The following is a 24427-nucleotide window of genomic DNA, read 5'->3' on the forward strand; positions in this document are numbered from 1 at the left end:
TTGCAGTGAGCTGAGATCGTGCCACTGCGCTCCAGCCTGGGCGACACAGCGAGACTCCGTCTCAAAAAAGAAAAAAAAAGAAAACGAATGCTTTATTTTTATTTTTATTTTTTTTCCATTCTCTTTCACTTATCTTTGCTCTGATCTTTATTATTTTCTCCCTTCTGCTAGGTTTGCATTTTGTTTTGTTTTTTTCCCTATTTCCTTAAGGAATAAATTTAGGTGGTGATTTGGGATGTTTCTTCTTTTTAAACATAAACAGTTACAGCTTTATGTTCCTTCTAGCGCTGCTTTTGCTGTATCATACTAATTATGATGGTACAGTCTTTTTATTTTCATCTCGATATTTTCTAATTTTTCTTGGGGTTACCTTTTTGACCCGTTTCTTATTTAAGAGTGCTTAATTTTCATATATTTGTTCATTGTTCTGTTTCCATCTGTTATTTCCTTATTTATTTTATTTATTTATTGTTACTAGAAAAGATACCTTGCATAACGTCAATCTTTTATAATTTTACAATTTTGTTTTTAATTGACATGTATTGTGCATATTTATTAGGTACAGGGTGATGTTTCAATACATGTATACATTGTATAAAAATCAAATTGGTATTTAGAATATCCATCACCTTATACATTCATCATTTCCTTGTGGTGAGGACATTCAAAATCTTTCTTCTAGCTATGTTAAAACATGCAATACAGTATTGTTAACCATAGTCACTCTGCTGTGCAATAGAACACCAGAACTTATTCTTCCCATCTTACTGTAACTTTATTCTCATTGACCAATCTTTACCTATTTCCCCTCTCGCCAGTATTCCCCAGCCTCTGGCAACCACTATTCTATACACTACTTCTATGAGATGTCAACTTTTTTAGATTTCACACGTGAAATCATGCAGTATTTGTCTTTCTGTGCCTGGCTTATTTCCCTTAGCATTATGCCTTCCAGGTGCGTCTGTGTTGCTGCAAAGGACAAGATTATATTGTTTTGTTTTGTTTTTTTTTTTAAATGGGGAATAGTATTTCACTGTGTATATATATACCACATTTTCTTTAGCAGTGCATCTGTTTGTAGACACTTGATTTCATATCTTGGCTTTTGTGAAAAGTGCTGCAATAAACATAAAGTCCAGGTTTCTCTTCAACAAACTGATTTCATTTCTTTGGGATATTTATACATTAGTGGGAATGATGGATCATATGGTAATTTTATTTTTAAATTTTTTGAAGAACTTCCATAGTGTGTTTTATAATGGCTGTACTAATTTATACTCCCAAAAACAGTGTGTAAGAGTTTCCCTTTCTCCACAGTCACACCAGCATTTATTTTTTTGTCTTTTTGATGATAGCCAGTCTAATAGGTTGAGGTAATATCTTCTTGTGGTTTTGATTTTTATTTATCTGATGATGGGTGATGCTGAGCCTTTTCTCATATATATACCTGTTGACCATTTGTATGTTTTCTTTTCTCTTTACAAAAATTTTGACACTTGTTTTATGACCTCACATATATCCTGGAGAATGTCCCATGTGCACCTGAGAAAAATGTGTATTCTGCTGTTGGTGGGTGGAGTGTTCTGTATGTGTCTTTTGGTCCAGTTGGTCAATAGTATTAAGTCCTATATTTCCTTATTAATCTTCTGTGTGGTTGTTCTGTCCATTACTGAAAGTGGGGTATTGAAGCCTTCTACTGCTAATGTAGTGCTATCTGTTTCTCTCCTCAATTCTGTCAGTGTTTGCTTCATATGTTTTGCTGGTCTCATGTTTGGTGCATACATGTTTATAATTGTTACATCTTTTTAGTGAAGTGTCGGTTTTATCATTATATAATGCCCTTCTTTGTTTTTTGTAACAGATTTTGACTTAAAGTTTATATGTCTAATATTAGTATAGGTTGAATATGCCTTATCTGAAATGCTTGGAATCAGAAGTGATATGGATTTTGGATTTTTTTTTTCTTCAGATTTTAGAATACGTACATATACATAATGAGATATCTTGGAGATGAGACCCAAGTCTAACACAAAATTCATTTATGTTTCAAATATACCTTGTACACATAGCCCAAAGATAATTTTATACAATATTTTAAATAATTTTCTGCATGAAACAAAGCTTGTGTACCTTCAACCATCAGAAAGGAAAGGCGTCACTGTCTCAGCTGCCCATGTGGACAATCTGTGGTTGTTTGGCATCATCGTTATTCTTGACTGAATTTATATGCTGATCAGCAATAATTTTCTCACATTTATTCACACGTAAGTTGTTAACAGTAAGACATATGAGGTACCATTAATTCAGTGAAAATACAGTGTGTTCAGGGTGAGTAAGCAGCACAGTAGCATCACTGGGAATATATGTATCCACTGTTAAACAGCAGCAGCAACAAACAGTGGCAGGCAGGCTCTCAGTCTCCACCTACAATGCTGTGTTTTGATTAAAAGGTAACTGTAGAATGTACTGTATTTATTTATTTTTTTTTTCAAGTGAGAAGAAACATTAGAAGCAGTTGAGGGGCCCGGAATTGGATCCTCAGGGGATGAGGAGGCATTTTGCTAGATGGCTTTTAAAAATGTTTCCTCCAGAACCATCTGCCTCACTAACTCTTTTTTGTCTGAGAAGTCTCTGATTTTATAAACTGTCATAATTTATTGTTCTGTTATGAATGCCTGCTGCTCCAGTCCTTTAATAAGCCCATCACACATTTTCACCATGTACCATGTGGTCTATAGGTACCTTTTTGCATTGGTAACATCATCATCTTTATCTTCATCATCCACTTGTGGTATTATGTCTGCACTCAGAAAGTTTCCGATTTTGGAGTTTTGGATTAGTGATGCCCAGGTATCTTTGCTCTTTTGGTTATTTTTGCATGGGCTTACTTTTTTTTAAATCTTTTTGCTTTTGACCTATGAGTGTCCTTAGAGCCAAAGTGAGTTTCTTGTAGACCACGTACTTTTATTTTTTTTGTCTCTCTCTCTTTCTCTCTATTTATTTATTTTGAGATGGAGTCTCACTCTGTTGCCCAGGCTGGAGTGCAGTGGCGTGATGTCGGCTCACTGCAACCTCCGCCTCCTGGGTTCAAGCAATTCTCCTGCCTTAGTCTCCCAAGTAGCTGGGATTACAGGCATGCACCATCACGACCGGCTAATTTTGTACTTTTAGTAGAGATGGGATTTCACCATTTTGGTCAGGCTGGTCTCGAACTGCTGACTTCAGGTGATCCACCTGCCTCAGCCTCTCGAAGTGCCAGGATTACAGGCGTGAACCACCGCTCCCGGCTGGGATCCTGTTTATTTTAATCCATTCTGCCAATCTGTCTTTTTGTAGGAGAGTTAAGCCATTTATATTTGAAGTAGTTACAGATAGGGAAGGACTTAATATTGCCATTTTGCTAATTACTTTCTATGTGTCTTACAGCATTTCTTCTTTCTGTTTTACCCCTTAGTGCCTTTCCTTTGGTTTAGTTAATTTTTTATAGCAACTTTGATTCATTTTGTGTTTAATTAACTAATAACATAATTAATATTAACATCAAGATAGCAATGAGGTCTCGCTGTGTTGCCCAGGCTGGACTTCTAGGCTTGTGTGATCCTCCCACCTCAGCCTCCTCAAGTAGCTGGGACTACGGGTGCCTGCCACCATGCCTGGATGACTTTTGTGTATGTTCTAAAGGTATTTTCTTTGTGGTTACGATGGGGTTACATGTAACATCCTAATGTTATAGCAGTGTATTTTAAACTTTCATTAATCCCATTACCTGTATGTTACAGCTTTTGCAATTGTCCTATAGTTCTTAGACATTCTGTTCTATTATTTTTCTCATTTTCTTTTTTTATTGGCTTTGAATTGGGAAGTTTTTATTTACGTATCTTGGGGCTTACTGATTTTGCATTAAATAATTTTTTCTCAATGGTTTATTGCAAGTATATTTAAATGTAGTTTACTTTTTGCATGTTGATCTTGTATCATGCTACTTTGTTAGACTCATTTGTATAATTCTGATTAAAATGTTTGTATATATTAACATTGAGCTACAATTGCAGAGGTCAAAAGATACAATTAGTGAAGATTTGGTCAAGCATACTCTGTTAGACTATGTAGAAGAATGAAGGTGAGATAATAAGATTATAGGCAGATTATATTATCTGTTATGCACATTATTTATATATTTTTCCTGATTATGACAGGAATGAAGCATACATATTAACTTTTTAAAATGAAAAATATTTGATTGTTTGAATCTTTTTTTTAATCTTTTTTAGGAGCTGTGGCCCTCAAGAATCTTCAAATTAAAGAAAATGCCCTGGTAGGTTTTGACTATGAAAAATTTGTAAAGTTATTGCATTTAATTATGTATAATTCTTCCTGATTCAGTTTGTCACCTTAAATTATTTAAATTTGAGAAAGTTTTTTGTAAATAATTTTTGCAAAATGTAAATTTTGCTAAATGGAGTTTTAATCTCCCTGAAAGCACAAATGGACAGTGTGATTTTTTTTCTATTTAAAAATACATATTGTTTTAGGCTGGGCATGGTGGCTCATGCCTGTAATCCCAGCACTTTGGGAGGTCAAGGCAGGTGGATTATTTGAGGTCAGTAGTTCGAGACTAGCCTGGCCAACATGGTGAAACCCCATCTCTACTAAAAATGCAAAAAGCTTCGCCAGGCATGGTGGTGGACGCCAGTAATCCCAGCTGCCAGGGAGGATGAGGCAGGAGAATCGCTTGAACCCAGGAGGTGGAGGCTGTAGTAAATGGAGATCGTGCTACTGCACTCCAGCCTGGGTGACAGAGTGAGACTCTGTCTCAAAACAAAACAAAACAAAAACAAACATACAAAAAATACAGATGTTTTTATTTCAAATTTTTAACTTGTTTTCTGATTTTTTTTTTAAGACAGGCTCATGCTGTGTCACCCCAGGCTGCAGTGCAGTGGTGTGATCATAGCTTACTGTAGGCCTCAGCTCCTAGGCTCAAGCTGTCTTCCCCTTTCAGCCTCCTGAGCAGCTGAAAAGTTTTTAATCTGATAAAGACTAGTTCATTTTTTTAATTGCTTGTGCTTTTATTGTCATATTCAAGAAGTCTTTACCGAATCTAATGTCGTGAAGATTTTCCCTTATGTTTTCTTCTAAGAGTTGTATAGTTTTAGCTCTTAGGTTTAGATCTTAGATCCATTTTGAGGTAATTTTTGTATATGGTATAGGATAAGGGTTCAGTTTCATGTTTTTGCGAGTGGATATCTAGTTTTCCTAGCACCATTTATTTAAAAGGCTATTCTTTGAATGGGGAGAACGTTTTGAAAGTTTATTTTTTACAAAACGCGTATTTTGCAAAATAGAGTTTTAATCTCCCTAAAAGCATAAAATGACATTGTAATTGCCACTTCTTTTTCTTAAAATAATATAAAATTGGTAATGATTTGATATGAGTAGATTTTCTGGTCATTTTTACTGTAGACCTTTATCCCCAATTATTATTAAAAGAGCAGCTTCCCTGGATTTTATGGATTTGATAGTAATATTGCAGTTATATGTTTATATATTTAAATAAATGTTGATGATAAGGAAATGTGTAAGTTTATTAAAAAATCCCTTGAAATAATTTTTGGAAGTAAAGAGTATTCATTTATGTTGTTAAACTCTATATCTACTAATGTTTTGTGTATATATAAATTTTTTCTGTAGAGTCAACTGGATGTACCATTTAAAGTTAAAGTTGGTCACATAGGTAAGCCATATTCATTATTGGGATATCCTCCTTCCTGGACATGCAGCCAGAATAATTTGCCTAATATATCTATTATGTGATATTTTTCATGTTTCTGAGCATCAATTAAAAATAATCATGTGTTTTTGTCTCAGTAGAGCTTTGTTGTGCAACTTAAAAATATTGTCCGATACATATATCCCTTGCCTAGTATTTGATATCCTAATACATTACATATCTCTTTAGGTGGTAAATTGAGTTAATTCAAAGGATTACCTCTAAGGGAGAGCTTAACTGTTTCAGTTTCCTAGGTTTCTGTCTAGTTACCACTGCTATATTTTGATTAACATTGGATATATTGTGTAAAGAATAGGTTCTGCATCATCCAGGCCCTGTGACTAGGGGCCGATTTGAAAACTAATTTCTGCTCTGCAAGTTTTTGTATGGTTTCAGAAAATACTGTGCTTTTTCTTGTTTGGTATTATTTTTACCAGTGTTTACTGTTTATATCTTAAATATATTGGTTGAGCAGTAAATGATTGGAATTTGAGGTTTTAACATCTTTAATAAAAACTTATCTGTCATGTTTCTTGTGTTACAGTTTTACTGGTTTAAATATTGTGCAAGATAATAGTGTCTTTAGTTGGGACTTGGAGATATTTTTGTTATATAGATAGTTTTGTGGTAGGATGTATACATTGTTATTGAAGCTATACTGTTGTCACTTGGGGAACAAAGTATTCTGAAAGGTTACCTAGATTACATGATAAAGGTCTTCATAATTATGTGTACTTATGGTTGGTATTAGACCACATACCATAGAAAACTTTCATCATCATATGTTACTGACAGTAGAATTCTATCCTCCCCACTCCTACCTTTTAAAGACTGTTTACTGTAAGAGGGGGAGAATGTCACCCATTTTTATCTACCTAACATTTTAATTTTTTCATATTTCTGATTATTTACATGTGTACATTTTAAATACTTACAAGTTTATATGTATTGAAATACTTGTAATTATGCTATTTTTACAGTTTTATATTTTTTCATTAGCGTATAAAAAGGATTTCTCATAATCTGAGTTGATTTGATCTCATTTATTCTGTACCATAATAATCCAGTGAATGCATATTTGGATATTGTAGAATAATTTTATTTTTCCATTGGTACAGAAGTATTACAATACATATTTTTATATAACTTTTAAACTTTTACCAAAGGTCATTGAATTTTACAGTGATGATTGTCGTATTTCAGTGTATGTAAATTTAACCTCAATTCAAGAACAGTCAAAAAATATATCAGGAGAGTAGATAGACTATTTTCTTTAGAATCTGCCCGCCTTCTCTTTTCTTGCCTAATCTTGTTTAAAAATGATAAGGTAATTTTTAGTGATAATATAAGATAGTAGAAAGTACACTGAACTAAACCCAAGATAATTTTGAGAGTCATTTAAGGTGTTGTGTACCTCTGTCGTAGCACCTGTCTTTTAAAAATATCACTGTTTTTTCCCCCTTCTAGTAGACATCGAGTTTCTTGAGAAGAAGTGGGTTTAATTTTTAATGTATCCTCACCACTTAGCACATTACTTGGTATATATAGTAGGGGCACAATTTATTGTATGAAAGTAATACATGTTTCCAAATGAATGATACAGTAGTACAATCAGTTTTATAGGAATGTATGTCCCCTTGCTATTATTGGGTATTGATCTTTCAAAATTTCCCTCGTTTAGAATGCAGAATTATAGATATATCAAATATAAATACACATGTACATATTATAAAAGAGGTTGTCTTCTGTGGAAGGTTTTTGGAATTACATCTGTGTATTTTTTTGAAATTTGCCAAATTTTCTACTAGGAGTCTACATTTTATAAGGGAAGGAAGAAAAGGTTTGTTTGTTTGTTTGGTTTTTGAGACAGCATCTTGCTCTGTTGCCCAGGCTGGAGTACAGTGGTGCGATCTTGGCTCATTGCAACCTATGCCTTCCTGGCTCAAGTAACCCTCCCACCTCAGTCCCCGAGTAGCTGGGACTACAGGTGTACGCCGCCATGCCTGGCTAATTTTTGTAGTTTTTGTAGAGACAGGGTTTTGCCATGTTGCCCAGGCTTGTCTTGAACTCCTGGACTCAAGGGATCCTCCTACCACAGCCACCCAAAATGCTGGGGTTACAGATGTGAGCCACTGCGCCTGGTCAAGTTTGGATTTTTTAAAAAAACATTTGTGGTGAAAATGGCACACTGTTAATATGTGTTTATTATTTTTACAGTTTTGTAATTGCTCTTTGTCCTTTTGTTCATTTACTTTTTTTGAAGTATTACTGTATGTATTTTAAGCAGTCTGTTGGTACATTTATAAATAAATTAACCGTGTCAAATTTGTTACAGTTTTTTCACAATCTTATTATTTCATTTTGGTTATATTTTTGGTCTGTACAGAAATTTGAAATGATCCCCATGTTCTCTGGTTTAAAAACTTAGAAAGTTATTCCTCTTTTAGAAATCAGATAGTTTAGAGGCCGGGCAGGGTAGCTGATACCTGTAATCCCGGTACTTTGGGAGGCAGAGGCAAGAGGATTGCTTGAGGCCAGGAGTTTGAGACCAGCCTGGGCAAAATAGTGAGACTGTGACTCTACAAAAAATATAAAAAAGAAATCAGATAGTTCATTTTTCTCTGAAGTGATATTATATGATGAAATCTTTTTCTCAGTTTGAAGTTTTCTACACATGGAGTTTATAAAATATCATGAGATGGATCTAAGTGGATTTAAAAAAATTTCCCAATCACTAACCAGTTTTAGCAACATAGTATATTTAATAATCTATTCCTTACACAATTATGGCAGCTGTATAAATCTAGACACTCATACCATTTAAACAATTCTAAAATATTTTAAAACTCTCTATTACGAAAATATTCTCAAGATACAAAACTAGAGTGAGTAGTATAAGAAACCCCATACATAGTGTTTTTGTAGTTCAAGAACCCTTACGCTTAAAAAAAAAATTCTTTGCTGTTTGATTTTCTTAGGATGTTTTCATTAGTTTGCATAATTTTCAAATATTACCCAGAATATTTTATTATTACTTTATGTGTAGTTTTCATATATATAGTTTATATGTATGATTATTACCATATGTGTATATGTGAATTACTATACATACATACATACGTATGTAACACACATATACATAATGAAAAATATACATACACACACTTATTTAAAGTATACAATCTACCTTTCATTGCGGGGAGGTAAAGGTCTCACTCTGTCACCCAGGCTGGAGGGCAGTAGCATGATCATGGCTCACTGTAGTCCTGACCTCCTGGGCTCAAGATCCTCCCACCTCAGCCTCCCAGGTAGCTGGGACTACAGGCACATACTGTCACGCCTGGCTAATTTTTTTAGTTTTTATTCATAGAGACAGGGTTTTGCCATGTTGCCTAGGCTGGTCTTGAACTCCTGGGTTCAAGCGATCCACCTGCCTTAGCTTCCCAAAGTGCTAGGATTCCAGGTGTTAGCCACTGCGCCTGGCCTAATCTACCATCTTAAAGCATTAAAAAATATAGGTTTAGAGTAAGAACTGGGGAAATTCAAAGTTATGATATTAAGGATTGTTGATTAAGGGAAGAAGAACATTGTTTTGTTTATGGTACAGAGAACTGTAAATAGAAACTTGTATATTTCGAATATAATCTAGGTTTTCCAACAGTACTGATATAAATACAATAATTTCAAATCATTACAACAAACACTTGTTGTTTGTAGTTGTAAAATAGCTTTCAATAAAGTGATTAAACGCTTAAGGACAAAGGCCACTTTATTATCTCTTCAATGCCTGACAGAAAATAGACTAACCATAAATGCAGGTTGAAGGAGTAATATTTTTTGTCCTTTTTTTTTTTCCCAAAAAAATGTAGGTAATCTTAAACTTATAATTCCATGGAAAAACCTTTATACTCAACCTGTTGAAGCCGTATTGGAAGAAATTTATTTACTTATAGTGCCTTCTTCTAGTAAGTTAAATTTAAAAAAATTATAATTTAAGTTATTCTTTTTTATGGATGGAAAAATATTTATATTCAAAATACTTTTGGAATTTTTTTGAGATTTTAATATTTAAATTTGATATTTGTTAATTCAAATTAAATTGGTTTTTACTCTACATTTTTGGCAACTTTGAATTATTTATTATTTATTTATTATTATTTTTTTTTAAGATGGAGTCTCGCACTGTCACCTGGGCTGGAGTGCAGTGGCACCATCTCAGCTCACTGCAACCTCTGCCTCCTGGGTTCAAGCGATTCTCCTGCCTCAGCCTCCTGAGTAGCTGGGATTATAGGCGCCTGCCACCACGCCCAGCTAGCTTTTGTATCTTTAGTAGAGATGGGGTTTCACCGTGTTGGCCAGGCTGGTTTCGAACTCCTGACCTCATGATTCGCCCAGCTTGGCCTCCCAAAGTGCTGGGATTACAGGCATGAGCCACCGCGCCCGGCCAATTAATGATTATTTGTAAGGATTTTTTTGGAATGACTATATTTAAATTTAAGGTAGTTATGATTCTTCCTTTTTAATCTTCCTATAGGAATAAAATATGATCCTTTAAAAGAAGAGAAACAACTCATGGAAGCAAAGCAACAGGAACTGAAAAGAATAGAAGAAGCAAAACAAAAAGTAGTTGATCAAGGTAAAGAAAACAGTAAATAACAATGCTAATAAGAGAAGTAGAAAAGACCTAAATATTTATCATAATTGAATATTATTTTTCTCTGGAGATGCTGAGATTATTTCAGAAATATGATAGAATCTCATTGCATGGGGAATTTTAATGTGGTTTGTATGCTTTGTTATGTGTACAGGAATTTTACCTTATGGAAATTTATCTTAAGGCAAATAATATGTCTAGCTTATTATTATTATTAGGTTTACATATTTTTTATATATATATATATACACACACACACATATACATACTAGGTAAGGTCAGTTTTTAATGATAGCAATTAATTTTATCAAGCATATTTTCTTAATTTTCTAGCCTTTGCTTTTGTATTCCTTTTATATCAATTCTTCACCCTTTTGGAGATACTTAGTTTCTTGACATATTTCTATTTGCCTCTATCTGTTTATTTACCCTCTGGCTTCACATATTTTCCAATTAAACTTAGACAATATGTTCCATTACTGCAACCTCTTTTTCATTATTGGAAGCGGTGTCCTGAAGAAATCTAATTCCTTTTCACCTGTTCTCTGATCCTTACTGCCAGCTACTTTTTAAACTCTCACCTAGTGGGTTTTTTGCCTTGGCATGTAAATACGCTGTTCTTTATCTTGAAACATGAAGTCATTTTCTTAACCTAGTCATCTGTTTATGTTCTTCTCCTCTGTCATTCATTTAATAGTTAAACATCTTAAAATTAAAAAGTTTACTGACTTCACTGTCTCTGAAATGCATTGATTTTCTTTTAATAAAAAATAATAAGCTTCAATAATGTTTTACTTGTTGGCAAACATTAATAGAGATTTAACATGTAATTCTTGGCAATATCTCTTGTAATTCTGTTTTTTCTCTGTAACAGTTACTTTATATTATGTGTAGTCATTTATCCTTACCTCCAGTCCTCTTTCCTAAGTCTCTTAGGCCTTTTCTTTTTAAAAATTATTTTTATTTTATCAAGATAATATATATACATAGCTTTAAAAGTTAAGCAGTATTATAGTGTCCGGATTAAAAAAAAAAACCAACTGTTCCTGGCCCAGGCCCGCACCTATATTACTAAATATGGTGCTCAAACCTCTGTGTCTTGATTTATTTAGATATTATATATATATATATATATATATATATATATATATATATAAAACGTGTTATATGTAACATAACATGCATATTATCTATAACATAACATATTTTATAACATATAATTAATGACATTACATATTTTAAACTCATCTCGTGTTTCATTGGCATATATATGACATATATAATATATAACGTGTAATATATATATTACACACACATCCTTTTATGATGTACTATGAAGATTGACCCTATTTTTTCATCTTCTCTATATAGTTCTGTCACATTTTTGGTTAAATCAGAATTCATTGTTAATAGTATCATGGCTATATATAAATGTTTTATTTATATATAAATAAAGTGGCTTTAAGTATGACTGTTTATTTTGTAGGCTTTTAGTTAACCTCCCTGTTCTCCCATGTACAAAATTTGGATCCTATTAGGGCCATTTTCTCTAAAATAAACCCTTGTGTTCTCACTAGGGTGGGAAAGGGATGTTGCTTGGATATTGGGCTGGGAGAGAAGGGGACCTAACTTAACTGCTCCTTATACAGATTTAAATCAGTTCTTGTGTTATCTTCCTCTCTCTCCACTGTGTTCCATGTTTGCTATTTTTTGTTTGGTGGGGTTTCCAGTTCCTGTGTCTTTCCAGGGTTCTGTGACTTGGATTTTTGTTGTTGTTGTTGTTTGTTTTAAACTCATCTTGTGTTTTGTTTCATTACCCTGCAAGATATAGGCATTGATATGCTTTTCATGTAAAATGGATAGTTGGTTTTATTCAGGATTGGTACTTTATTGACAGTAATATGCAAAAAAAGAGCAAAGGGATTTAAGGTGTTGGTAAAATAACATATCATGGAATCTGAGCTGCATAAGGAAGTCAGGAGGAAGTAGTGGGTAGAGAAAGAAAGACAACATTTAATCGAATGACTAAATGAATTTATAAAAGAAAAGATTTTATTAGGTAGTGGTGAGAGTCAAAGATTAAAATATGATCCTCTGTCTTTAAAGAGCTTGTATTCTGTTGTCTACTTAATTCTATAATCTATTTATATGTATATATATTCATTTAACTCTGGTGTATTTGAGGTACATATGATTAGTATCTTCAGCTTTCCTTTATCTAAGGCCTCCTGGGCCAGCTGAATTTGAGAGTAATAGGCAATTAGAGGAAAAGATAGATTTATATGTATTATTTCTATATAGGAGTAGAAATATGAAAAGAGGAACAGAATTAGAAATAAAGAATATAGCTTTCATTGGCATTTTTAAGGGGAGAAAAAGGATAATAACTATGATTATCAAAGGCATATTTCAAAAAAATTAGGAACCTCAATTCTTTATTCTTCTTTATTCTTGGTTTTTCTTTTTTTTTGAGACAAAGTCTCACTTTGTCTCCCAGGATGGAATGCAGTGGTGTGATCTCGGCTCACTGCAGCCTCCACCTCTCTGGTTCAAACGATTCTCCTGCCTCAGCCTCCCAAGTAGCTGGGACTACAGGCATGGACCACCATACCTGCCTAATTTTTATATTTTTAATAGAGACGGGGTTTCGCCATAGTGGCCAGGTTGGTCTAAAACTCCTGACCTCAGATGATCTGCCCACCTTGGCCTCCCAGAGTGCTGGGATTACAGGTGTGAGCCACCTTGCCCCTCCAATTCTTGATTCTTTCTATTTCTTTGGAAAGTAATGGAACTTGAGATAGTTAATGCTGTTTTCTGAACATGAAATAGTTGATGAACTTCTTTCATCCTTGTTCAAAAGAAGAAAGAAGATCTTATTTCCTATTTTGTATTTACTGGGGGAGGAGGATATTCAACTGTTTTACACATCTATACACAGGCAACTTAATGGTGGTATCACTAATTTTGAGAGAGATTTCTGCTTTGCTGCTGTTAGTGGATTTTCTCATTTAAGTCTATTGTAATTCTTACCCAATAATCTTCATTTTTAAATATATTTTTGTACTCAGGCATAGGTTAACAGAAATTATAAAATTTAATGCCAGTAAATTCTACATGGTCTGCTTTAGTCTCATGGCACAATAAACTAGCTTTTGAAAAATGTTTACTTGCTTTTGAAAGACTTTTGGAAAGCAAGCTATTAGTGTTCTATTTACATATATATGTATATTTCAGCAAGGCAACGTAAGCATGTTACTTCAGTATGTGGATATTTATAGAGTATATTTTTCATTCAATTTTAAAAAAGGAATATTTGCAATTGTAGAACAACATCTGCCGGAAAAACAGGACACTTTTGCAGAAAAATTAGTTACACAGATCATAAAAAATCTTCAGGTGAAAATTTCCAGTATCCATATTCGTTATGAAGATGATGTAAGTATTTTAATATGTGATATTTGTTTTTATATTTATATGTAAGTTATTTTACTATTTAATGACACCTACTTTTTAATGGCCAATCTGTTAAATCCCAAAAGGTTACAGAGCTAAAGATGATGTGATCCTTCTTTTCTATAATTATAGTTGTAATTTGCAGTCCTTAGTGTTGAGTGCTTGATTTTACACTTTCCCAAAATGTTCAGACATTAGATCATGAAGGAAATGCCTTGGGAATTATGAATTTAGCAGTTATGTATTTTTAAAATACTTTAAAGTATGCTATATTTACCTCCTGGATGGAGTACTGGTCTAGCAATTAGTGGAGCTAGCCTTAAATAATTCCTTGATCCTGAATAGGTCATTTGTTTTCTCTTAACCAGATAATTATTTGCTTTATAATCCTATTTTGTTAGTCTTTTTTAATAATTTTTTTTGTAAACTGGAAAACATGCAGTATAATATTCCTGTGTAACACGAATACATTAATAATTAGTATTCTAATTTGTTTTAGGAAAAATATAGGAATGAAAGTTTTTCTGGAAAGTAATAAAATGTTTCTGAATGTTTGAAATAAGTTACTTCCCAAAAAGTTATCCCTCCCTCCCTTCCTCCCCCCACCTCCCTCTCTCTCTCTCTCTCTCTCTCTTTCTCTTTCTCTCTTTCTTTCTCTTCTCCTCTTCTCTCCCCTCCCCTCCCCTTGCCTCCCCTTCCCAAGACAAGGCCTCACACTGTCGCCAGGCTGGAGTGCAGTTGCCCGATCATGACTCATTGCAACCTTGACATTCCTTGCTCAAGTGATCCTCCCACCTCACCCCCACCCACCCACCCTGCAGTAGCTGGGACTACAGTTGCACCCCACCAGGCCTGGCTAATTTTCTTAACATTTTTTTTTGTAGAGGCAGGATCTCACTGTGTTACCCAGGCTGGTCTCCAGAGCTCAAGCAGTCCTCCTGCCTTGGCCTTCCAGAGTGCTGGGATTACAGATGGGAGCCGCTGCACATTGACAGTTTTTTCTATAAAGTGGATTTTATCCAACTACTAAAAATCTGAATAAATTTTACTTTCTTTCCTCTTTAGATCACAAATCGGGACAAACCGCTGTCATTTGGTATTTCCCTTCAAAATCTGAGCATGCAGGTATTTTGTTTATAAAAGAATCTTAACCATATTTAATGTGCAATATAGTCTATTAAACTGCTACTATTTGTATATGCCAGCATCAGAAATAGGTGTCTATGTAGAACGGGTGCACAAAGGGTCTTCATTGGATTGGAATCGAGGGTATGTAGATTCACATTTCAAAAAATGGTTGAAAATCAAATTCAGAAATATGAGGTCCTATTATTATTGGTAATTATGATGTTAGATGCTTTTGCTTACTTTAAGAAATCCATTTCCAAGTTTGTAATGAGTAAGTACCAAATACAAGTAATAAATGTTCATATCTGAAACTTCGATAAGCCTTGAAAAACAAAAATCTTCAGTTTTTCTCAATATCATTATTAATATTGTAGCATAGTGTTTTCCTGTTTAATTTTTGAAATTGAGGAATTTTAAAAATATAAGAACATGTAGAGAATTTTGAAACATATGCTTGCCTCCAGAATGGATGGCTGTTAAATTAAGAGCCTATTAAAATAGCCTATTTGCTTAAAGTCTTAAATATTTTTATAGGAATAAGCTGTTTTGGATAAAGTTTGAATCCCTTTTGTTTTCTACTTCCACCCACCCGTCCTTCCCCAGAGATAAGTATCCTAAATTTTAAAACTTTTATATAATATATCTATTAAAAATGTAGGATTATAAAAGTTTACGCGTTTTATATGACTCTTTTATGAGTTCCTTTTTGCACTTTCCAGTGTTGTTGACATTTATCTGTGTTACCACATGTAACAAAATTCATTCAGTTTAACTGCTGTGTATTTCATTGCATGATTTTATTTGTTGTATCTATTGGGTTTTGTGTAAGATTTCTTTTTAATTTTATTATTATTTTTAAATTGGGCAGCCTCCCAAGCCAGAGCAGGCTCAGAGAGACTCCACAGTTTCTTTTTAAAATGTGGCCCCACTGCAACGAAAAAAGAAAAAATGCCCTCCAAAAAGTTACTCAAATACTCTCATTAAGTTGAAAAATAAGAATGGAGAATTAGCCATTGGATTGGGCAATGTGAAGATCTTTGGTAACCGTGATAACAGTAGTTACTAATCATCACCTTTGGAAACTTGTCTGCCAGCCTAGACCTGTTCAGTTAGAAACTCTAGGATTTGGTTGCAGCAATCTGTGTTTTACAAAGCCCTCTAGGTCAGGGTTCCTGGGCCACAGAACAGGAGGTAAGGCCTGGGAGTGAGCATTACCGCCTGAGCTCTGTCAGATCAGAGGTGGCATTCGATTCTCGTAGGATCCTAGCGAACCTTATTGTGAACTGCGCATCTCAGGGATCTAGGTTGTGCCCCTGATGGAAAAGTTATCTCCTATGAAACTGGTCGTTGGTGCCAAAAAGGTTGGGGACCACTGCTCTAGGTGATCCTAATGCATGCTAAACTTTGAGAGCTACTATTCTAATTATCCATTCAGTTCGTCTCCACATAGAAACGAAAACCATCTTTCTGAAATAAAGATCTGATCACTTTATTCCTCTCAGTGGCTTTTCATTGCTCTTAGTTTTATCCTTAAACAACTTATAAACCCTTTTTAAACCGACCCCAGGCAATATACCTGGTTTTACTTTTTTTCTCTGTCTGTTTTGCATTATATTCTCCTGCATACTGAGCTACTTCAGTTGCCTGAATGTGCCATATATTTGTGTACTTTTGGGCTCTGCCTGTTGTGAATCATATTCCCTGTCGACCTTAGAATCAATAATTTTTAGTTACATGTTATATATTAGGTTATATATAACATCTCTTTATCCATCACACCCCTGAATTGGATGCTCCTGCCATGCCCTCTCAATGAAATGAGAGGGCATTTTTTTTGTAGAGACAAGGTCTCACTTTTTGTTGCCCAAATTTGTCTCAAACTCCTGGCCTCAAGCAATCCTCCCAACTCAGCCTTCCAAAGTGTTGGGATTACAGGTGTGAGCCACTGCACCCAATGATACCTGCAAATCTAAATAGCTCCTAGAACATTCTTTTATAAGTTAAATGAGTTATGAGTTTTAGAAGTTAAATGAGTATTTAACTTCTGCTGTGGCACTTACCTGTTGGAAGTTGCCTGTTTCTTTGTTTGCTTTTCTGACCCGCAATGAGCTCCTTCCTTGAAAGCAGACACTTTACTGTGGTCAGTTAGTATTTTTTGATGGAGTGATATGTCTTTAAAGGCATTTTCATGAAAGGGACATTGGTCTAGGGTATGGTAGATAATGATTTATTACTCTGCTGTTTCAAATGGAATGACCTTTTTACTGCCATTGTTTTTTTTCCTTTTCAGACAACTGATCAATACTGGGTTCCATGTTTACATGATGAAACTGAGAAACTGGTTCGTAAGGTAAATAAATACTGTGTTTGTCAACTCATGGACTTAAGAGAATTTTGGAAAGCCAAATGATAATATATAGATAAGGATGTATGTGAATTTTGCTTATTTGTTTAACTCTGTGATATGGCTCACTTAATTATTTGAGACTTCTGAAAATAGTGTATGATAAAAATTCTTCAAAGAAAATGAGACATCTAATAAATTTTATTTTCAGTTAATCCGATTGGATAACCTGTTTGCCTATTGGAATGTGAAGTCTCAGATGTTTTATCTTAGTGATTATGATAACTCCTTGGTAAGTAAATTTTTTCTGTATGTATTTGTTGGTATCATATTTTGCATGAGGTTTAATTCATTGTCATTTATCTAATATACTGTAGTCAGTATTTTTTCCTAGGCACAATCTATTAGCAGAATTTACAGATACAGGTGAAGATGTGTGTAACTATACACAAACATGAATACATACCCCCATATCTTTTTTTTTTTTTTTTTGAGACAAGGTCTTGCTCTGTTGCCCAGGCTGAAATGCAGTGGCACGATTATAGCTCACTGCAGCTTCTAACTCTTGGGCTCAAGCAATCATCCTTCCTGCCTCAGCCTCTTGAGTAGCGAGGACTATAGGCACACGCCACCATGCCCAGCTAATTTTTAAATTTTTTTGTAGAGACAAGGTCTCACTTTTTGTTGCCCAAATTTGTCTCAAACTCCTGGCCTCAAGCAATCCTCCCAACTCAGCCTTCCAAAGTGTTGGGATTACAGGTGTGAGCCACTGCACCCAATGATACCTGCAAATCTAAATAGCTCCTAGAACATTCTTTTATAAGATTAGTTTGGTGAGATGTTGTTTAACTACTTTAATATTTTGCCATAGCTAAGTTCTAAGTTTGAATTGGTTTTTAAAATTGCTTTTAAACATTTTTCTTTTGCAGATAATAGGATTTTTTAGGATAAAGACATATTGGCATGAATATGGCTAGGCGTGGTGGCTCACACCTGTAATCCCAGCACTTTGGGAGGCCGAGGCGGGTGGATCACTTGAGGTCAAGAGTTCAAGACCAGCATAGCCAACATGTTAAAACCCTGTCTCTACTAAAAATACAAAAATTAGCCAGGCACGGTGGGGCACGTCTGTAATCCCAGCCACTCGGGAGGCTGAGGCAGGAGAATCGCATGAGTCCATGAGACAGGGGTTGCAGTGAGCTGAGATTGCACCACTGCCCTCCAGCCTGGGTGACAGGGGGAGACTCCATCTCAAAAAAAGACATATTGGCATGAATATAAATAAAAGCAATTTGTCTTTTAATAGGACGACTTGAAGAATGGCATTGTCAATGAAAATATTGTTCCAGAAGGTTATGATTTTGGTAAGTACATTTTATAAGATAAAAAAAGTAGTTAAAGTAATTGGTATAAATTTTAAATTAGCATTGTTGCTATCACTGTGCTAGTTCCTGTTAAATTTCCTTCTATATAGTTAAATGTATTTATAATGTATATACAAAAGCAAATAATATTATATTTTTTAGTAACGTATTTTATTGTTATGAAGCTTTTGACTATATTTCAAAACTATAGGGGAAAATGTCCAACAAAAGATGTTAATAAATTATGATAAACCTCTAAGGATTATTCAGTAACAATTAGGGTAATATTTATGAAGACATTTCAAAATGGCAAGTAAAATTTAATAAGGCTAGCTAGTACAGCCTTTTTCGAAATAGTAAGATCACGCTGCATTTAAAATTTTTTTAATTTATACTTTTCTATGTTTTCCTAATTTTCCAAAATGAGCATCCATTACTTTTACAATCGGAAATGAATTACTAAAACAGAAAGAAAAAAATCAGTGCTGTTTCTCAGTTTCCCAAGTAGCTGGGACTATGGGCACACACTGCCACACCTGGCTAATCTCTTTCGTATTTTAGTAGAGACGGGGTTTCACCATGTTGCCCAGGCTGGTCTCCAACTCCTGAGTTCAGGCAATCTGCCCGCCTCGGCCTTCCAAAATGCTAGGATTACAGGCATGAGCCACCTGGGAACCTGGGAGGTAGAGGTTGCAATGAGCCAAGATCACGCCACTGCACTCCAGCCTGGGTGACAGAGTGAGACTCCGTCTCTACAAAAACAAACAAAAAAAAGTGCTGTTTTTTCTATGATAAGGGCACTTAATAAAAGTTGGTGATGGATAACTTAATTATTGAATTTGCATGCCTGATGTCATTAACCATAGAATATCCTTCCTGAAAGTATTTCCTTTCTTGGCTCAGTGATACTTTTCTGTCTATATTATACACCTTCATGACTACTCAAGTGATTCTTCTTTTTGTGCCCACTCTTAAAATAATTATTTTTATTGGTTTGAATTTAGTTTCATTTTCTTGATTCTCTTCTCATAGGAAATATTCAGAACAGATGAGTTATCTGTCATATGTGTTTATGATTTTCAAATCCATAATCGTAAATTCGACTTATTTCTCCTTTGCCCTGAAGTCATTTTTGTTGTATCAGAGTTCAGTGAGGAGAGAGAAAGTACTGAGTAATTTGAAGAGGACAAATTTAATATAAAGAATTACCAACTATAAGAGGAGACTGGAGTAACAAGGGACTGTCTCATAAAAATGCTAAAGATATAGACAGAAGAAACATCCCCTACCCTAGGGCTAAGACGGGGTGCCCAAAAGAGAGGGTCCCCCTCCTTCAGGACTGAGTTGTAGACCTTGTTGGAGGACATAGCGTGGCTTATTGAATGGCAGGAAATTATCTGTGGTGCTGTGCCAGCAAAACCTGTTGGTACTTCACTCTCTGGAACTTTCTGGAAATTACTTTTAGGGAGCCTCATGGAGGGGTGTCTCTCTGAATGCACTCCAGTACAAAACTGCCTTAGCAAGGTGCTGGGGGAAGTTGCTGGCATCTGGCTGCATCTAGCTGCCATGTACTGCATAAGGCCGGTGCTGAAGAACTCCGTGCTGGAGGAACCAGACACTGCAGAAGCTACCGGTTCTGTAGGAGCTGGGTGTGGGAGAAGCCGTGTTCTTGCAGGAGTCTATTGAATGAACATACTGGAACCAGGCAGCATAACTCTTTCCTCCTGCAGTGTCTCTCCAGTGTCCTCTACTGATAAAGCTTAACATTACGCCAGCTGGAAAAAGAAAAAAAAATTTTTTTTCTCTACATTCTCTGCCTTCAAAGGAAACATATTTAAAGATCCCCAAATCATTTTTCAGAGCAGGCTATGAAGGAGAAGTTTGGAGCTCAGAAGTAAAAAATTGATAACTGGCATACCTGTTGGAGAGCGAAGGGGGAATGAAGGGTTTCTTTTTGTTTGTGTTTATATTTAATCAGGGAGATGACAGCTTGTTTTTAGGCTGAGATGGGAATGATCCAGTAGAACATGACAAATTGACGATGCAGGAGAAACGGGGGACAGTTTCTGGATTGATGTAGGTGAAAGAGAATGGTGTCTAGTACGCAAGTGAAGAGCTTTGCTGCATATAGGAGCATAGTTAATTTATATGATAGAGTTTAGTTGTGAGAGAAGTCCTTATACTGAGTAGATGAGTAGATATGGTGATAAGAGTTGATGTAAATTCTCTTCTGAGCTCTTCAATTAAAAAATATGTATCTGAGGTATGTTAGGGTTCTCTAGAGGGACAGAACTAATAGGACAGGTGTATATTTAAAGATGAGTTTATTAAGGAGTATTGACTCACATGATCACAAGGTGAGATCCCTTAAATAGGCCATCTGCAAGCTGAGGAGCAAGGAAGCCAGTCTGAGTCCCAAAGCTGAAGAATTTGGAGTTTGAGAAGAAGAATTTGAATGTTTGAGGGCAGGAAGCATCCAGCACAGGAGAAAGATGTAGGCTCAGAGGCTAAGCCACTCTGGTCTTTCCATGTTCATCTGCCTGCTTTTATTCTGGCCATGCTGGCAGCTGATTAGATTGTGCCCACCCAGATTGAGGGTGGGTCTGCCCTTCCCAGTCCACTGACTCAAATGTTAATCTTCTTTGGCAACACCATCAGACACACCCAGGAACAGAAGTTGCATCTTTCAATACAATTGAGTTGACAGTCAATATTAACCATTACATGAGATGTTGGAGGTTTTTGGAGGGAAAAGAGGGTATGAAATAGGAATGCTAGGGGAGTGAGAGAGTGAAATGACGAGGGCAGTATTCTCAAAGTATGGTTCAAACTAGCAACATCATTTAGAAATGCAGATTTCTAGGGCCTTTCCCAGACCTCCTGAATAAGAACCTCTGGAGGTGAAGCTCAGCATTTGATGTTTTTGTATTTAATTTTTTATTTGTATAAAATTGTGGAGTACAATCCTTACATGGATATATTGCATAGTAGTGAAGTCTAGGCTTTCAGTGTTTCCATCACCTGAATAATGTACATTGTCCCCATTAAGTAATTTCTTATCATCCACCCCTCTCCCATTTCTCTACCTTTCTGAGTCTCCAGTGACTGTCATTCCATGCTCTATGTCCATATATACACATTATTTAGCTCCCACTTACAAGTGAGAACATGCAGTATTTGTTGTTCTGTTTCTGCATTGTTTCACTTAAGATAATGGCCTCCAGTTCCATCCATGTTGCTGCAAAAAATGTGATTTTCTTCTTTTTTTGGCTGAAAAGTATTCCATGATGTTCATGTACCACATTGTCCGGTTACCTGTTGATGGACACTTTGGTTGATACCATATCTTTGCTATTGTGAATAGTGCTGTGGTAAACATACAAGCGCTTTTTTTTTCTTTTTTTTTTTTGGATAGAATGGTTTCTTTTCTTTCGGGTAGATACCCAGTAATGGAATTGCTGGATTGAATAGTAGTTCTGTTTTTAGTTCTTTGTGAAGTATCCATACTGTTTTCCACAGAGGTTGTACTGATTTACATTCCCACCAACAGTAATCCCTTTTCTCCACATCCTCACCAACATGTGTCATTTTTTGTCTTTTTAATAAAAAAGACATTATAGTTTTAATTTTCATTTCTCGGATGATGAGTGATGTTGAGCAGTTTTTCATACACATGTTGGCCATTTGCATATCTTCTTTTGAAAAATATTTATGTTCTTTGCCCACTTTTTTTTTTTTTTTTTTGGAGACAGAGTCTTGCTCTGTCTCCCGGGCTGGAGTGCAGTGGCGCAATCTTGGCTCACTGTAAGCTCCACCTCACGGGTTCATGCCATTCTCCTGTCTCAGACTCCCGAGTAGCTGGGACTACAGGCACCTGCCACCATGCCCAGCTAATTTTTTGTACTTTAAATACAGATGGGGTTTCACTGTGTTAGCCAGGATGGTCTCAATCTTCTGACCTCATGATCTGCCTGCCTCGGCCTCCCAAAGTGCTGGGATTACAGGCGTGAGCCACTGCACCCAGCCCTTTGCCCACTTTTTAATGGAGTTGAGTTTTTTGTTGTTGCTGTTTGAGTTTCTTGTAAACTCTGGATATTAGTCCCCTGTATGATTGATGGATAGTTTGCAGATATTTTCTCCCATTCTACAGTTTGATATTTTAATAATCTCTCCAGGTGATTCTAATGAATACTAAAGTTTGAGAACCACTCAGATAGACTAGGGTTCAATAAGGTTCTCATACTTTGAGAACATTGCCTTTTTTTTTTTTTTTTGGAAAGGGACATGTAGTAAGTTAAATATTTTACATTTTGCAGGCCATATACAGTTCCTGACACATTCCTCTTTGTTTCTTTTAAACAACTCTAAAAGTGTATGAATCATCTTTGGCTCACTGGCTATACAAAAATAGGCTGTAGCATGGATTTGGATGATTCCTGGACTGAAGGACTGTTGTGTAATTGCTCAGCAGCATTAAGGATGCACTTGAGATTTATGACACTAAAGTGAGACCCAGCAGTATGTTTTTACCCCCGGCCGTGTTCAGCTCCTTAGGGGCACTGTGGAGTTAAGTTGGTTACTCCACACTGACGAAGTGAGAAGTTAAGGAGTCTATGCAAAGGAATGATTAAAATAACTGATGGTGGAACTTCAGTAAGGTGGGGATGGACTGAGGATGTGAAGCAGAGGTGAAGGGCAGAGAAAGGTTGGAGGATCAGTGAATTGTAGGTCCAGGGTAGCTTCTGTCACCAGCCACTAAATTTATTTATTTCTTCTGCTTTTTTTTTTCAATGTAAGAAGAAATACAGAAGAAAGAACAAGATCTTTAAGCATTTATTTATATTCAAATGAACATATTCTTGAATGTTTAATGTTTAAGAAATTAAATGTTAGTCCATATCAATGATTAAAATAAAAGGAATATATCATCTTTATATACAGATTAGCTTATAATTTAATGATGGATCTTTGTCTAGATTCTGCTATTACTGGTCTTCCTCTGAATTGTTCTTATTCTTTTTGGCACCAAACACAAAGAGTTGAGAGGAATTTATCTTAGATTATGGGTTCAGCCAAGCAGGTAATCCAGAGCAAACTTTCACTCTTCATCTCTCTCCTTTTACCAATTAAAAGGAAGAACACAGATGGATCTAGAGAAATTGATCAGAAATTCAGAAATTATAATTATATAATGGAAACCAGTGTTAATCCTCTTAGCATTTCTAATGTTCATTCATTCTGTAAAACTGTGTACTTGTATTAAAACTATTTTTTTGATTTTTTTTTTCTTAAAATGTTTCTGCTTTTAAGTATCATATTGGTATTTTGAGGGGGAGTTCAATTTGCCTTTATTGTATTTATGGAAGACAGTGAATTTTAAGTAGGAAAAAGATAAAGAATCTTCTCCACACATGGTTCATCTGACTGAACCATGGCAGTGTGAACATCTGGGAACTGTAGAAGGGGTATAAAATAAATGGAAATCAGTGTTTTCAACTTCATCACTTTATTGCCTTGAGACTTTGGAAATATAACTCAGTTTTTTTTCCATTTTTATTATTTTTCAGTATTTCGTCCCATATCTGCTAATGCCAAACTTGTGATGAATCGCCGATCTGATTTTGACTTTTCTGCCCCCAAAATAAACTTGGAAATTGAGTTACATAACATAGCAATTGAATTTAATAAACCACAGGTGATTTTCTTTAATATAA

The 24427-nt window shown here is 35.2% G+C and overlaps 1 protein-coding gene across 4 annotated transcripts in view; it reads left to right on the plus strand.

The window, feature by feature from the left end:
- VPS13A (vacuolar protein sorting 13 homolog A) overlaps positions 1–24427 on the plus strand; it is a 244004-nt gene that overhangs the window by 18140 nt on the left and 201437 nt on the right. For all 4 annotated transcript variants that reach the window (NM_033305.3, NM_001018037.2, NM_015186.4 and 1 more), the window contains exons 2-11: positions 4272–4315; positions 5692–5734; positions 9640–9735; positions 10305–10406; positions 13750–13859; positions 14943–15002; positions 17296–17355; positions 17561–17641; positions 18656–18713; positions 24281–24408. In NM_033305.3, the coding sequence (NP_150648.2) occupies positions 4272–4315; positions 5692–5734; positions 9640–9735; positions 10305–10406; positions 13750–13859; positions 14943–15002; positions 17296–17355; positions 17561–17641; positions 18656–18713; positions 24281–24408 (782 nt within the window). The remainder of the gene's footprint in view (positions 1–4271; positions 4316–5691; positions 5735–9639; positions 9736–10304; positions 10407–13749; positions 13860–14942; positions 15003–17295; positions 17356–17560; positions 17642–18655; positions 18714–24280; positions 24409–24427) is intronic.

The sequence above is a fragment of the Homo sapiens genome, chromosome 9 (assembly GCF_000001405.40).
Source record: "Homo sapiens chromosome 9, GRCh38.p14 Primary Assembly".
Classification (NCBI taxonomy): Eukaryota; Metazoa; Chordata; class Mammalia; order Primates; family Hominidae; genus Homo; species Homo sapiens.